At 40.1% G+C, this 17,741-nt stretch overlaps 1 protein-coding gene across 15 annotated transcripts in view, besides 1 other annotated feature; it reads left to right on the top strand.

The window, feature by feature from the left end:
* The window catches only part of PPARGC1A (PPARG coactivator 1 alpha), a 680,885-nt gene that overhangs the window by 433,434 nt on the left and 229,710 nt on the right, over positions 1–17,741 (top strand). The window lies entirely within an intron of this gene.
* Positions 8,992–9,493: an enhancer, noted in NCBI's record as "NANOG hESC enhancer chr4:24031602-24032103 (GRCh37/hg19 assembly coordinates)". NCBI's record gives its function as "activates a minimal SCP1, AML or CMV promoter by ChIP-STARR-seq in naive H9 embryonic stem cells {active_cell/tissue: H9 hESC(naive)}" and the evidence as "EXISTENCE:reporter gene assay evidence [ECO:0000049][PMID:30033119]".

The raw sequence follows: 17,741 nt of genomic DNA, 5'->3' as shown, positions 1-17,741 counted from the left end.
TGTAGCCTTAAATATTCACATTCTAGAACTATCCAGAAGGGAGCAGTTCCTCCCAAATGTAGAATATTATGCCAATATTCCAATTATAAATCAAATACTAGGGAATCTGGAATGCAGACATTATATTTCTCGTAAGAACCTCAACTCCTTGCAATTGTGTGTTTTCAATTACTCGGTGGTGTAATTGAATCACTAAAGTATAGCTTCTTAATTTATGTTGTATAGCAGGTGGACAAGTTTACTATCAGGAGTGTTGCACATTCTGACTTTTATCCCGTTAAGATATGCTTCCAATTGGAAAGCGAATAAATTACTTGGGATTTGTCGATGATTCACAGTTATAGAGGGAACATTAAAGCTTTGGGATGGCAGAATGTATTTTGTCCATATATTTGGACAAGTGAAGTTGAGTTTAAATTACTTACGATGATATTTAATGGTGGGCCAGTAAATGCACTGTTGTCTGTTTCGTGAATGTAATTAAATTGTGTAAGACAAGACCTCACTGTGGCTCTTAGCTTGTAAACCTCTGTGGTGACGTGAGGTGAAGCTGCCAGTGTTCTGTGGGGAAATACCAACCCCAGAGTTAAAAGGGAGGATTTGCTAGCTTCTGCCATATATCACTTGCTCTATTTGGATTCTGAATGCCCATCTCAGTGTAGTGTCTGGTATGCACTTACAAAGTTTAAATAGAAATTAAACTGGAGCTGGGTCCATTGCTGAATATAGCCATTTGCTTCATAAACACGACTGAAGAGGGAGTGAAAAAAAGAACTGAAAGGAAAAATCCAAGCCAGCAACCCAGATAGAATGACTCTTCCCCTACCTTGAGGATCCCGGAGAAAATATCACCCTGAGGAATAACACTAGGAGTGGTTTCAGGGTCTGGATATAGAATGTTATTGCTCTACATTGGAAGAGAGAATTCGAATTTGCAGGCTGGATTCAAATAACCTTGGAGGGTTAGACTCAGGAGAGGTAATTACTCTAGAACATGGTCCCTGAAATATAAATATCAGTTACAGACTTTGAGTTAATTGCATTGGCTCAAGGGGTACCCAAGTTATGGAGGATAGGTGCTACTGATTCTATCCATTAAAGGAAGGCTTAGGTAAACTCTAATGCACCCAGGTCAATCTCTCTGTTAGTTGAGTCCCTTCTGAGTTATAGTAATCTCACGTGGAAGTGACAGAGACATCCAGGTCTGGTTTTGTAGAGGGGCTACAGGCAATCCTGAGTCGCAGAGTTATGCGAAGCAAAGCCCTAGGCACTTTATGTTATTTTGCTCTACAAGGTCATGCATGACATTCTCCTGGTCATCCACTTATATTTGGGCAGGTTGTTTACTGCACAAGGGAAGTTGGTTTGAGAGGGCAAGTTGGGGGCTGAAATCCATTCTATTCTGTGCTTGCTGAACTGTGTGCCATGGTGTGGGGCTAATTGTGCTGGAAGAAAGTGGGTATCTTCATTGATTTTGAAAGAGTTGCCATTTAGACTACTAGCAGCCTGGATTATTCTAGACATTTAGGTCAACACAAAATTTTTGAGTGCCTACTTTTTATCAGGCACCAAGCTAAGCTCTGGTGGGTATGGGATGAGCAAGCTGTGGTTTCTGCTTTTTAGTATTTAGAACCTAGTGGGGATGACAGCCAGGTAAATGGATAAAGGAGCTATACTGTGATATACCCAGTGATAAAAGTATATTTACACAGCATGTCATGGATACAAAGAGGTTTGGCAAGACGCATACACAAGTGCGGGTGCAATACACATTCACATGTACAGATGCTTCCACTGATTTTTCTCTTATGTTATTGGAAATCTGTCGGTAATCAGGAGATGAATGCAAACATTCAACAAGGGATGCCCTGCTTTCTCTGCTATTAATAGAGATAGTACTTAAAAATAAAATTATAATAGACGGCTCTATTTACAGGTTTTACAAGCATGGCTGTAAATAATTTGGAGTTGATGCTTCTATGTGATCTGAAAAGATCTTGTGGCCTTTCTTAGGTAATTTCTACTTAAATATTCTGAAATGAGTCAAATGAAGGTGAGCTCGGGAAGAAGGTAGCTAACTCAAATGTAATTAATGACTGTAAAATTCCCAGCTTTAGCCTTCATCATTTTTCTCTGAAAGTTAAAGATCAAATGAATCTAATAATAGTAATAGTAGCTAACTTTTTCTAATATCTCAGAAAGACCATATGAAGTAGCTTCTATTATCAGCTATATATTAAAAATAAAGAAACAGAAACTCTGGATGTTAGGTAATATTGCCAAGGTTAGTAAATGACAGAACAAAATTTAAGGAAGGTTTTTCTGACTTCAGAGCCTGTTTACTTGCTAGCCATGATGCTTCCAGAGAGGTGGCTGGAACTGCTTAGCAGGACTCCCAAATAACTTGTCCATTCTTCAGGATGGGAACTTTATTTGACAATGTTTGTATCATCATAACACATTTAAGCTCTTGAGACATGCTTGTAAACTCTTTTAAATGTGTAGATAACTAGCAAATATGAGCCAATATTAATAGCAAATACTTCCATAGTGCTCAGTAAGTACCTGACGTTGTTCTAAGTACTGGACATTGACATTTATTTTTGATTTGTGTACAAAAAGTAAAGTGTATAAAGTACATTAATCTTAGTTATACAGCTGAAAGGATATTTGCATGTGTACATAATATCTCCAACATGCCAGAAGTTTCCCTTGTTCCCCTTTCAATTCAATACCCTACCCAAGTGGCAATCACCCCCTGAGGTTAATTCTATCATTATCAATTTGTCTGTCTGTTCTTATACTTCACAGAAATGGAATCATTACTCTTTTGTTTCTCATCTTTTTTTTTTTACTACAAAAAGTCTGTAAGATTTTTCTATGTTCTTACATATATTTGTGATTCACTATTTTTATTGCCATGTAGTGTTTCATTGTGTTAATTTATCACATTTCACTTCGTCCCTCTCCTGTTGATGGACATTTTGTTTCCAGTTTGGAGTTCATGTAATTAAAGCTGCTATAAATATGTTCATACATGAGCTTCGGTGGATGTACATATTCAGTTCTCTTGGATATAAACCCAGGAGTGCAATTTCAGGATTATAGGGTAGGCATGTGTTTAGCTTAGTAAACACTGCCAAGTGGTTTTGCACAGTGGTTGAAATTATTTACATTCTCACTAGCAGTGTGTAAGAGTTCTAGTCTCTCTACCTTTATGTCAACTCTTATTATTGTCAGTCTTTTAAATGTCAGCCCTGCAGATGAATATATGGTAGTATTTCTTTTCTATTCTCTATCTAAATGCTTTCTATTTAATTCTCACAATAACTCTATGAGATAGGCAATATTACTATCCCTATTTCACAGACGAGGAAATTGAGGCACAGTAACTTGCCCAAGGTTATGCAGCTAGTCAGCGTCAAAGAGAGGATTGGAACCTAGGTAGTCTGGTTCCAAAGTCCACATTCTAAAACACTTTGCTATCCAAGAGGGGCAGTTATGGGAAGTAAACACGTAGCTATTCTCTGGGATAACATCATTTAACATCGTTTACTCATATTTAAGTCCACAATTTTTCAAGCTTATGAATAGTAACTTCTAGCACTTTTGTTATAGTTCTTTCCCAACCATGCTAATGTTTACTTAATCATGTAAAACATAAAGGATTGCAGACTTTTCCTAAACTATTGCATCTATATAAACGCCAGTTACCTTTGTCTTAATAAATATTAAAAATAAATCTATAACTCCCAAAGAAAAGTTGTTTGTGAACCACACAAAACTGCCTGTGTACCATCATGCTACTCATAATTTGGGAAACATTGGTTTAAGCTATATGAAGCTCTACCTACAAAAATTACTCATATTTCCAAAGTTTTTTATTTTTATTTTATTTTTTATTTTATTTATTATTATTATTTTTTGAGACAGAATCTTGCTCCATCGCCCAGGCTGGAATGTGATGGCGCGATCTCGGCTCGCTGCAACCCAACCTCCTTCTCCCAGGTTCAAACAATTCTTGTGCCTCAGCCTCCTGAGTAGCTGGGACTACAGGGGCACACCACCACACCCGGCTAATTTTTTGTATTTTTAGTAGAGACGGGGTTTAACCATGTTGGCCCATCTGGTCTCGAACTCCTGACCTCAAGGGATCTGCCCGCCCCAGCCTCCCAAAGTGCTGGGATTACAGACGTGTGCCACCACACCTGGTCCAAAGTTTTTTTTAAAACAATTGTTTCTATTATGTAATGATGAAAAATTAATATTTAATTTAATTTATGGGCTATAAACACATACTATTACATGCCTATGGACTGCCCTGTTAGTTTCAACAAGTGTTTGCCACACATATACTATCTCCCGGATATCATGTATTGCTCTCCTGAAGCAGAGCAATGAGCAAAATCCAGTCCTAGTAGTGGTCTATCTTGTGGAGATTACAATCTGAAAAAAGAGGAGGAAGAATTAGCTGTGGCTGCAAGTTTCTTTATAGGAGGGCAGAATTGGCCACATGCTGCAGAGCTGTTCTCAGTGCTCCATGTCATTGTCTTCAAAGCAGCTTTTCCATATTGTCCAGATGCTTCCCAACAGACTTGAGACCAGCTGTCGATGACTGTATGTGCCACTTTGGTTTCTGTATGCATCACTCTTGGATCAAAGGGAGCAAAAGCCATTTTGTCTTTATTCTCAATCACTTACTTTAAAATGTCTTTTCTTCTTGCTTCTTTAAAAATTAATCTATCTATTCCACTGTCATCATCTAGCATGTAAAAATGGAGACACACTAGTATGTTATTATAATTAATCATGATATACCTGTTACTCAGCTTCAAGAATTAACAATTCATGGTCAGTCTTGCTTCTTCAATACCACAATCTACTTCCCTCTCCCATATTACATTGAAGCTAATTCAAAGTATTATTTCTCCTGTGAATATTTTATTGTGTATGCTTAATGAATAACATACACAATACCAATTAATGAATAACAATCACAATACCATTATCACATCGAAAAGTTTAACAGTAAGTCTTATTATCATCAGTTGGTGTTAAAATTTCCAATTATTTTATAAATGTCATATGTTTTAATAGTTTGTTTGAATGAGGGTCTAAATAAGGCCCACATGTTGGTATTGGGTGATATGTCTTTTGAGTTTCATTTAATGTATGTGTCCTTTTTTTGTTTTACTTTGTGATTCATTTATTGAAGGCCAATCACCTCTAACTTACTTTACATTACAAAATAGAATATGGATATTGAACAGCTTCTTTTCTCTCTATCTTAAGTATCTTGAAAGAAAAAGGCATTAGGACTGACTTCTGAGCTACTCCTGGGGAGAAATAATGAGGCTTCTTTGTTTAGGGATATACTTTTTGCAAGTCCAGCAGATACCTACGTAATTATTTATTTATGGTGCTACCACATTGCTGACCTATCCAAGACTCTGCTCACCCACTTGTTTAGGAAGAAGAAGGCCAAACGGACCACTCAGATTCCTGAGGCTTCTGAGCCAGAACTTTGCCATTTTAATATGAATGCTATTTTTGAGGGGAAATTGTCTTGAAAGCAGCTTAAATGTAGCAGTAAATGAATATGAGTTGGAGTTAAACATTCCATCAACCGGCTCCACGCAGCCCGCCTCTCTTCCAGCCATTTGAAACCATTTCTGCAGAACTTTGCCTAGTCAGTTTCACACAGGCTAGCAGCATGAGACAGGAATAACTGCTTTTGTATGCCTGTACATGTCCCTTTTTCCCTCTATCATCCACTCGAAGGCATTTTGGAATTGTGTTTTTTTTCTTTTTTAACAGCATATAAAGCTAAATTGAATTCAATGCTAGTAAAAAAGGTGGCTTATGTCAGAGACAAGGATGTGTTCTTTCAATTCTAAATGGAATAGCAAAACCCTGAATGCAAAGTGTTATTTCCTGTGGGGCAGGAGAAGATTATTTTCCCCTGTGACACTTCACCTGTGTGCCACTCTTGATTCTCTCTTACACTGCTCTTCTGTTCTTTAATTTGTACGTGGATGCGTGTGTGTGTGTGTGTGTGTGTCTGTCTGTCTACATCTATGTATCTGTTTATCCCTTCTATCTCCTTTATTATAAAAACAGTAAGTGCTAAATAAATATAAGCTATTATACATCAGACAATGTTTAAAGCACTTTGTATATATCGACCCATTTAGTTGTTACCTCAACTCTTTGAGGGAGGGACTATTCTAATTACCTCCATTATACAGAAGAGGAAACTGAAGCAGGGAGGTGACTGGTTGTAGATCACACAGATAATCAGTGGTGGACTTGGGACACAGACCTAGGAAGTCTGACCGCTGAGCCTATGTTTTAACCAGTAGTCTGTTCAGCCTCTTTGGAATCATGTGTATATTCACTTTGGACCACATCCTCTTCTGAACCATTGCTAGGACAATTCTACATACAAGTTTTGTGACTTTGAACAAATCCCTTAAAAGCCAGTGCTCCTAGGATTTTCTCCTTAAAATAAAGATATATCTTGTGTAAGGTTTTTGAGATATCAAATGAGATAATATTAAGTATCTAAGGGTGTGTGCGACTTAGAGCAGCTGTTCCACAAATTCAGTTTGATTTAACAGCATTTATTGAGCATGTGGTCTGTGCTGGGCTCAGAGGATACAAGAATGGTCAGGACAGACATGGTTCATGCCCTTTGAGCTTCCTGTGTAGTGTCTGGTGGGAAAGTGGACAAAATCAACCAACAATGACAAATTTTGACATGTGCTAAAAAATAAACCAACTCCTCTTAGCATTCCTAGACATGCTGAGCATAGAGCTTGGCCCCAAAGGAGAAGCTCAGCAAATACTTGTTGGATTAGATGAACCTCGTCAACTCCATCAGCTGCTGAAGGCTGTCACCAAACATGGCTCAAAAATGCAAATGTCAGATGGAAGTGTGTCTGAAAGGCCAGAAGGTGGAGCAGTCCTGGCTCAGCTGGTATTGTAGCTAGTACAAGTCAGGAGGAATGGTAGCTCAGTGGTCAGCTGGGAGCTGGCCCTTGGGGAGCTGGGTGAGCTCTATGAACACCATGACAGAGTGGAAAGGCAAGAGGCTCCATAAGCCACCAGGAGCCCCTGTGTGAGCTCTGTCTCTGCAGTTGGTCTGCTCTGGGACTGTGGGCAAGGTTCTCAGCCTTGGCACACTTGTGCCCCTCATTTATAAAAATAGAAGTGGTAATATGTACCTAGCAGGATTTCTGTGATTTTTCCATGTCAAAAGGTTATGAGAAAATGCAAAAAGGTCCTTAGAAAAGTGCTTGGTGCTTTGCAATTATTTAGTGAGTGTTAGTTTTTATTATTATTGTTATTCATCATTATTATTATAAGAAAGCATCTATATCGCTGCTAAATCAATGCTAGTTTTCTTTATATTTAGAAGCCTCAAAAAAGAATGTCATACAGGATTTTGGTGTGGTGGAATACTTCTGTTACAGGAGGCAAGAGGCCTGGGGCTTCTGCTACCATGGGCATTGTGGTCTGAGGACAGCCAGTTCCCCCTCTCTGGGCTTCAGCTTCCTCATAGGCAAAATCTAAGTTAGACTGGATGATGTCCAAGGTCATTTCTAATACTGGGATACTGGGATAGTCTTCTGAGATTGTGCATCCTACCACTGGAGACTCTCAGAGGGAAAGATTACCAGGGGAACTATCATCTACTGCTAATCACAGTTTAATGAAGTGGTTCTCAGTTGGGGGTGACTTTGACTGTTTCCCACCCAGGGACATTTAGGGGTGGGGTGCTACTGTTATCTAGTGGATGGAGTCCAGGGATGATGTTAAACATCGAACAATGTGTAGGACAGACAACGAAGAATGATCGGAGCCAGAGTGTGAGTAGTGCCTGGGCTGAACAATGCTTGCTTAATGCTTACCTTGTGTTTTCGGGTCAACTAGAGCTGAGCTGCAATTGCCCATGTATTGATGCTCAGGTCCACAGTTAATTTATCAGGTTTATTAGACAGTTTGATCATTTGAAGGGACCACATATAAATTTTGTTATTCAAAAGCCTTCGCTTCCTATTCTCTCTATCGCTTGGTGACAGGGAGTTGGGAACAAAGGTGAGGTGTCATGTGACAGAAGAAATGAAATCAGGGATACCTCAGAGCAGAGAGCATAAAGCAACTCATCTATTAAGGGGCCAGAAATGGAATGCAAATGGTTCTGTTTGTCTTTCTAAGGGACTGATAGGCAGCAAGTGATTCGATTCTTGTGGGAATCCTTTTGTATCATTAATTCATTAATTCAGTCTCTCACCACTTATGGAGCATCTGTGGTGTGCCCAGCTCTGTGCTGTTGCCAGGGACATAGTAAAGAGCCAAATGGAGCAAGTCTCTGCTTGTCAATGTGAGGTTTCCTGTGCCCATCCCTTTTTCGTCTCCCAGGCAAGTCCTACTAATCGTTCCAGACCCAGCTCAGAGACTCCTCATTTTCTGCCTCCTTTTCTCCAGTCATCTGCATATCTGTCTGCTTCCCTGCAGAGACTAGGTTTTAATTGCTTCCTGCATCCTGAATATCTTACTTAGTGCCTGGCACAAACAACTGTTTGTTGGAAGAATGAGTGAGTGAGCAAATGAATGAGGCTGTGCTTCAAGGCCAGTCTTTGTGCAGTTTTTAAGACGTCTTTTCTCTTCCACCTTCCATTCCAGTCTACTCTGTGTCTCCCATTAGAAAGAGAGATATGAGAGAGATGAGGCAGGCAGTTTTTCAGCTGAGGTCTCACGAGGGTGTGTGGAGACAATGGTCACTTGGAGAAAGGAAGGCTGATGAGAGTTGAGGGCATTTTTAACACAAGTGAGAATTGTGGATGAGGTGGTGCTGTGGTCAGGAGCATGAAGGTGATCAAGGGAAATAATGGGAACAGTAACTGCTGTATTACGGGGAAATATTAATGATCTCCATAAAGATGGTATACAGCTCAAAAGGTATTATTTTTAGTGGGTGTCTTTGAGTTGTATGAATTAATAAGGAGCAGCTTGGGTAGTGGAACTCATTAACTTCTCAAATCTAACTTATTTACACTGAATGTAAACCTTTCTCAGACTATTGACATCAGCCATTATAAATGACGCCCCCAATGTGAACTGTATTTTCTGGTGGCAACTGCATTTTTGTGTTAGAGCATAGGAGTGGGGATGGAGTTTTCAGATGCATTCAGATATCTGTTTGTGGGTGACTTCATCTTCTGTCACCTGCAACCCTCGTTGAAATCAAAAGTTCTGACTCATTGCAAAGACACTTGCAACCAATCACATACTGGCTGTGTTTGTTAAACACCATTGTGTAGCAGTTAATTCAGTTCTTTTAGAATCACTCAAGTTGGTCAATGGTCTGTTGTCCTCATCAATAGGTTATTAGTGTTAGTTTACAGTAGAGTCTCTCTATTTCACTTCACTTGTAAAGGCACTCTGTCTGCATGGGGGCTGATTGTTGCACGGGAAGTCTCTCCCAAATATGAGTTCCCTCTTGCAGACCCCTCTACAGGCTTACATATCCTTTTTCTACAGAGAGGACTTGGCAGCATATGCCATCCCCCCAAATTATTTAATATAGGGCATTTTCCTCAGGTTTTCAGTCAAATGGTGTTGTCCACTGAGATGTTTTCTCTGGTAATTACATAAAAGTGATGTATCGTATTATATTTTTTTTTCCTGTGGTTTTACCGATGTTTTGGAGTTCTGACTTTAAATAAACAATAAGAGTGAAGGGACCCTGTCCTCAGATTTTATCAGTTCCCTTTCCTCACCCACTTCTACCAACTACTGTACTACCTGTTTTGCAAAGGAGGATGGAGAAGGGGAATCAAGTCTGTTGGATGTTTGCACATGGTATCCCATTTAACCCTTCCTCTAAGATAGGCATTATGATTCCAATTATTCAGATTGGGAAATCAAGGCTCCGAGATGATTTTTACCACACCCCAAATCACAGAGCCAGTTACATAGCAATCTGAGATTTCCAATCCGGATTTTCCTTTGCTTTAACCTTCTGATAAATCCCATCAGGTACCATCCAGGAGAAGGAACGGACCTGGGAAAGGTTAAGGCAAGCAAGTGAGAAGATTTATAGGGAAAATAGGATAATGTTGGACATAGAATGGAGAAAAAAAGTTGAGGCATTGAATTGTTTTCCACCATTTCCACTTATGGGCTTCATGGGAGCCCACTGATCTGGCTCAGCAAAACCTTCAGAATTCCCTAGTCGTTTCTCCCAATAGATCATGAACCAGAGCTCTGAGAGAGTCAAAGTCTGATCAGTAATCTACCAGCATCCTATGTCCTTGAATTTATCATCTTGATGCTGCTTGAATTTTTGGTTCTCTTTGTAGGACACGGAGGGACAGCATAGCAAATAATTATATAAATAACTAACATTGGTTGAGGTTATGTATAACATGTAAGCATCTAATCTGCTTCTCTAACTATTTGTGGGAAAGGATTCCCTCTCTTCCTCTTTTTTCCTAAAAATTCTAATCGGTCATAGACTGTTGCCTTATTAACATATAATAAAATTAATAGAAAAATAAAAGTAAAAATGGCACAGAAAATCCAAGTCTTATTGTTTTATTATTATTAGAGTCATTGGACATAAAAATAACTTTCTCAGATGTCAATTTCATACTTATCTGGTCATGAACTAGGGACATACAGGATACAGACCAGCTTGCATTTTGAGGAGTGCTTTTCTAAGAAACTTACATGCAGTCATTCTGAGGAGGCTTATTTCCCCCATGTTGCAGGAGAGGGAACAGAAGCACCATAAATAACTTTCTATGGCTACAGGTAGTGAGATGAGGAGCCAGTATTGCAAGGCAGGCAGCTGGTTCCAGAACCTTCCCTGTTAACCTCTTTGTATTCTTCCTTGACTCACAGTGCACAGAGCTTGGGCATAAAGTGGGCTGGACCCTGAGCAAGTCTTTTCTCTGTCATTTAGTACCTGTATGACATTAGGATTAAATGACATCTCCTCAAAGGCTCATAGATGGTCCCTGGCATGGCATAGGTGCTCAACAAATGGAAGCCATTCATTTTGACAAGGACAAAATTCCAAGTGGCACTTTGATAATGATTTGGGGTAGATTATTTGATTCGATGCAGTTAATATTCCACATGTCAATGTGTCTCAACTGTCATGTTTTTCAGAAAATGTTGTCAGTTTTCTTATTCTATGAAAGAAATTGTTTTATTTTGTCATTTTAAATCTCTGCCCATTTATTTCCAAACCCTGTGGCAGAAATGGCCAAAAATAAGGCTTACTATGAGAATAAATTTTGTTTCCTTGGGGATCCAGTAGCACTACAGATTTTTTTTTCCTTGAGGAGCCTTGGGGTCCAATGCCTGGTGTTAAATTCCAGCTGTTTCCATTTTCGTTGAAGGCCTTTGACTAAGTTACTTTAATTTTCCAAGCCTCAGTCTCCTCACCTATTAAATGGGGATGATAATAATATGACCTATTTCAGAGCGTAGCTGTGAGGATTCAATGCATTAATATATAAAATGCACTTAGTATAGTATCTGGAGGATAAATAAACCCTTAGTGATTATTATGGGCACTGATCGGTATGTTGCAAGGTGGAAAAAGGGTGGAGTTCCAAGACATCGTCTACTCCCTGTAGGAGAAAATCCACAGCCTTCAACCAAAAACAATGCACCTTAATGATAATATTAATGTTAATTATTACGACTATTTTTCCTTCGCACCTGTGACATGTTGGACATGGTACTGATCATTTCCATACACATTGTTCATTGAATTCTCTCAGCATTTCACTGATCAGTAATTAAATTTCAAGGTAGTTAAGATACTTGTTCAATGACCCATAGTGAGTACATAGAAACCCCACAGGTTGAGCCCAGGGTAAACCTGGTTGCATCCCACACTGTTTTCAGTCTGACCAGAAAAAAAGACTGATAATAAATAATGAATTAACATTTACTTAGTTTTTACTATGCGTTGGGCCTTGTTCCAAGTAGTTTATATGATTTATCTCATTTTATCTTCATGCAATAGTATGAGATAAACACTCCATTATTTCCACTTTTATAGAGGAAGAAACAGAGTCAAGGGAAATATTGGGACTTGGGTAGTAAGAACTGAACCAAAGTTTGAATGCAGGCAGTCTGGTTCTATAGCCCATGTTATGCTATAAATGGTGGAGTTGGCATTACAGGCAAAAATATGCACGCACACACACAGACACACACAGACACACAGACACACACACACACACACACACTAGCCTGAGGTCAGGTGTGCATGATCCTCCTGCATCTTGGGCAAAATGTTTCCCCTGCTCTGGTTCTTGGCATCCTTGGTAAAATAAGGGGATATTAGAGCCTCTTGAAAGTCCTTTCTGTTACTAAAAGCCTATGAGTCTGTAAGTAGCAGGACAAAATACAGCTTTCCTTGTATGTCTCCACCACATTACTGACCCGTTAGAAAATAGCCATTATGTGAATGGCTTAATTTATATTTAGGTGTTATTTATAAAATTTGAGGGAAAGAGGGCAGGATAGGAGGCCCAACAGAGCAATTTAAGGCACGTTATCAGCTTCTTACTTGAGATTTAGTCCTGCAGCGCGAGTTCTCTTCTTGAACATATACAACTGCACTGTTGCTGGAAAAATTTCTCAGGCTGTGTTTCTTATCCCACAGCTTTCCTATACACCCTGCTCCTTAGACAAACTGCAGATGATTGCCTGTTGTGCAAAGTGGACACTCCAAGGTTCAGAGTGGTGGATGGATGATTATTTGGTGGAGGCGTGTGTCTAAAAACTTGCCAATTTTCTCCTACAGAGTCTTTGACTGTCTGTGCTGTTGGTGGTGACTCCTTTATTGGTCTACAGAATTTAGTTTTTTTTTTGAAACTGAGCTTTTCATACTTATCTTGAGTACTGATTTAGAAAGAGGTTTTGTCTTTTCACTTAAATACAAAAGGAGAAAGGGACCTGAAATGATTATGCATACTCTTTATTCTATAGAAAAGGAAGCTGAAGATGAGACAGGTGACTCAGCCAAGCTCTTGGAGCTCTGGATAACAGATAATCTCTACCAGGAGTTCCATGTACTTCTGAATCTTTACTGTGAATTTTGTGTATGCAAACATTTCTCTGGAGAGAGGGTCTATGGCAGGAATCAGAAATGCATGGGCCCACAGATCATGCAAATGAATGACATAGTCAGGTGGAGGGCAACTGGGACTGGTGGGAAGTGGGGCCAACTGGACACCATATATTCCACTGTAAGGAAAAGTTGGTTTTCAGCATCAACTAATTGTTACCAGAAGTAGTGCCGATCCAGGACTGTCAGATCTTTGAAATTTTCTAAAGAAGCCAGTTTTCTTCATTTTAGGTAAAATATTTTAATTTTAAATGTTGGCAACTCTTTCAAAGGTTTTAAAGATGTAGGGCAGACAAAGCACAGCATTACTTTGGATTGAGTGCAAATCATGGACCACACATTTACAAACACAGATTTATAACTCATAAGATTCTCAGAAAGAATCTTTGGAAAACAGGGAAATAGCAACTTAGGGAATGACAGTTACAGCTCCAGGACACATTTTTTTTTCCTCCTCCTCCTTTCCCCATTGAATTAGATGATGATTTTTATACATCACCTACACCTGGAGTTATATTTAGGTCAGTCGAGAGCAACTCCTCCTTCACTGAACATTACGTGTATTTATGACAATGTCTCTTATTCCATCTCCCTCTATCTATTGCACTTGAGGCTTTGCTGTCTTCTGTGCCACTTGTTTTAATATCCATACCTTATTTCCTGGTGACATTGTGTAGCAGCAAATACCCATCTGTGAGGGGGTGAGGCAGTGGACAGAGGTGACAGGCAGCTCTAAATAAGTATTAGAGATATGTCAAAGTCAGTTAAATAAGAGAGAGTCAAAGGGGGTGGGGCTGGGAGGAGGGAACAGATCTGTGATTCTTGGGGAGGGAGGAGAGAGTACCCTTTCAAGAAAGATGGGAGAAATGAATGTGAATTGTGAGAAACTGGAGATTTTATCTCTGAAGATAAATCTCTCCTGTACTCTCAAAATCCAGGGCCTTAGCTGTGAAATAAAGATGATGGTGTGTATTCAAGTGTATTGAGACTCCCACCAATGTTTATTTGAAGTTCTGTGTTAATAAAGTACACAGAGGCATCTCTCTATTTCTCTTTCCTCATGCTCCCAGTCTCCTTTTGTTAATTCGTCCCAATGAGCACCTGAAGAAAAGACACTGCATATCTCATTGCTCTAGGTGTACCATATTTTAGAAAGTACAGAACTATCCATTTTAAAGGACTAGGGATCATTTTCACCATTAGGAAAGGAAATTCCCAGTTTAGAAACAGCAACATTTTATATTGCAACTTTGTAACAGGGTGCGTTTCTAGCTCACTTGTCAGAAGGAGTTTATTTATCAGTATTGAAAGCACTAAGTAACATGTCGTTACTTCTATAACAGTGGGAGATAATTAAATCCTACATGCTTTAAGGAATCAAGCCAGGGTCAGAGCTGTTTTGCATACAGCATGCACAGATTAGGTGAAAGTAGCCTGTTTCAACTGTCACTTGATATTATATTAGCTGTTAGATAAATATTACACAACTGCAGAGCACAGCAGCTATTTGGCAATGCTTCCCCATCCTTGCATTGTGCTGTTGTGTGAACTAATACGCACTTATATGGGGATGACTTGATACACTTAGCCAATGGGACAGCTTGACCACTGGCTGGCCTGTTTAAATTGCCATTAGATACTATGACGCTTGCTGCTTTTCATTTCCAGAGAACCGTTAAAGTCTGTCTTTGAGAAAGACCTGGACAGGATGATGTGGATCTAAATTGCTGCCCATCAGAATTTAGGGACTCTCACACCAGGTATGGGCAGCAATATGACAAGGCTGTTGAGAAAAGGCAAAACCCAAGGCTGTTGAGAAAAGGCAAAACCCAACTAGGACAATACAGGCAGACAGTGAAGGTGGAAGGAGATGGGAACTGCTTCATGTGAAGTAAGCCAGGGAAGAACTGACTGCTGATGTAGTGGAAGGAATGTGGTCCGTGGAATCAGACGCACATTGCATTCCAAAGCTGGTTTCATCATTCACCCACTGTGTGACTTGACTTAATCACTCAGCCTCAGTTTCTACGTCTGTGAAGTGTGCTCATGGGGAGGATTACGTGAGATAAGTCATGTAAAATGTCTGGGCAAGGAAGTGGCACATAGAGTGTGCTTTGTAAATGCTAATCCTGGCAGGATCAGAAGCCTAACCCTGAACTTAGTAAGGTGTCCATCAATGAGTTACACCAGAACACAGGCTGTTTGCCATCTCTTATTCTAGTCTTCCTGGTACATGTGGGTTGTCCCATTACTTTTAGCTGTTGACTACACCCAGAAGGCAAAAACTAGCGAATCATGCCCATGTTTGCAGTATGGACAGCCCAGGACAAAATCTGCAGCTTTAGTTGGCTACACTTTGGAATGAGTTCCTCAAAGAAGCTTTCCATCTGCTTTGAAGGTTTGTAACAGAACAATCTCAGCTATCAATTATCAGGGATACCACCTTCTCTGATCAGCCCTCATGTTTTTCTTCACTTTTCTTTTGCCACTTAGTATTTCTACCTTGTATTCCAGTGTTTGGGGGTTATTAATGCCTCTGGACAGAATCCCTGTGTGATCCAGCTTTGATGCAGCCAGAGGATACAGGACAATCTCTGGCTAGAATAGGAGCTCAACAGATGTTTGCTTAAAGGTAAGGGGATGCTTTTATTGACCTGTCTTAGTTTCTCTTGGCTAGTGACGATATTATCTCTATTTTAAGTGTCAAAGGGAAATGAAACTTAAGCCTATGGCCCCAGGAGTATATGTTTTCTGTGATATCAACTACTATATCCTTGCGGTATCACAGCTGGAAAACTCTGCAGTGCACAGACAGGAGTGTCCTGAACACTACAGCAGGGAGCCTGTGTGTGGCACCAAGGGGCCACTGGTCTCTGTCTTTCTCTACTTTTTGGGGAGGATCTCAGTTGGCCCTTATCTGTTTTTTTTCCAAACCTGTCTATTTTCTGTTAACTTAGGCTTCAACTTTCATATATGTGAGATATTAAACTTTTTTATAACTTAAGCCAGTTTGAGTTTTTCCTGTAACTTCCTGACAAAGGAATCAAACAGAATCAAAATGAATTTGATCTTAAATATTCATCATAACAGTGATGACTAATGCAAACCTATGGCAAGTATTTGTCAGTACTCTTAAATACGAAAGGAGTAAAATCCTCCAAAGTATATCTAATATAACAACCATACAAAAATCATGAATAATGATACATATGTATCATAAAATAGTATTAACTAAAAATACTTATAGTAGAATTGAGAAATTAACAGTACATTATAAAAGATTTTAATTAGCATTTTAAGTGTTGCCTTCAAATTTTTCTTCCTATCATGTCTCAAAATATTAAGCTCCTAGAGGTTAAGGCACATGTCTTATTCATCCCAATTTCAAGTACAGTTGCTGGATTATTTTTAGTTTTATATGTCAGGAGGGATTAGGTTCTGATACGGTTAACAAACAACCCTGAAATTTCAATCTTTAAAAGAGGAAAGGTTTATTTCTTGCTTCGGGTTCATATCCATTTGGCATTGAAAGGGACACGTGGCCTGAGCCACAGCAGAACTGAGTGGTCATGTGGGCTGGGACCCGATCCCTATCCTTATTGCCCGGGACTCTGGCTCCTTTCTAATCTGAGGCAACTGGTGACACCAACTCCAAATTAGGGGTTCTGATTCCTGTTAAGGGAGGGAGGCCCTGCTCCTGTCTCACCTTCACCTCCCTGGCTCATTGCTCACCATTACCACCATCACAACGAATGCTGGATTACCTCTCATGTGCCACATGCTTTGCTAGGTGCTTGGAATCTGTCAGGAAGCAGACAAGGAGAAAACCCCAGCCCCGTGGCACTTACATCACAGTTGGCAAGGGAGAGGGTCCAACACGAAGTGACAGGCACAGTAAGTAACCGATATGTATGTGGGGAGGCAGTGAGCGCTATGGGAAAAGAGAGCAGGGTGAGAGGGAGGCACTCGGGGAGGGAAAGACATAGTTGGAGAGAGAAGGGAGAGAACAGACACATCGGTCCAGTGATAGAGACTGACAAAAAAAGCAACAAAGGAGGAAGGAAAGAAACTTTGAGGGGCAGCGAGAAGATGCTCAGGGAGTGAGATACAGAGAGCCAGGCAGAAAGAGCAAAAGAGAGCTTGCTGTGCCAAGGAGCAAGGATTCCTTCACCTGCATGCTCATCCATCCACCTGTAGCTCAGCCCTCTCATTCTCCTTTGCAGCCTGACCTGGCCCCTCAGCCAGGTACCTTCTCACACCACTGTCTTCCCTAGCACTGGCCACTCCTCGCCTCTCCTGTCTCAGTTCTTACCATCACTCCCATGCTGGCCACATTGTACTAAGTGGCCTTTCTTAAAGACAGAGCTCTTGCATCATCTATTTAGCAAGGGCTTCTCTGACCTCTCTGCTCCATTCTGCATTGGGGGCCCATTTTAATGGGCTCCCCACTACTCATCCCAGCTATAGGTGAACTGAGACAGGGATGCTAATGCTAGTGACATTGAACACATCTGATGCTTACTGTCAGGCACTGTGCTGAACACTTCTCCTGTATTGCCTTGTTTAATCTTCCTAAGAATGC

The sequence above is a fragment of the Homo sapiens genome, chromosome 4 (assembly GCF_000001405.40).
Source record: "Homo sapiens chromosome 4, GRCh38.p14 Primary Assembly".
Lineage (NCBI taxonomy): Eukaryota > Metazoa > Chordata > Mammalia > Primates > Hominidae > Homo > Homo sapiens.
This window is presented reverse-complemented; position numbering and strand designations above follow the sequence as displayed.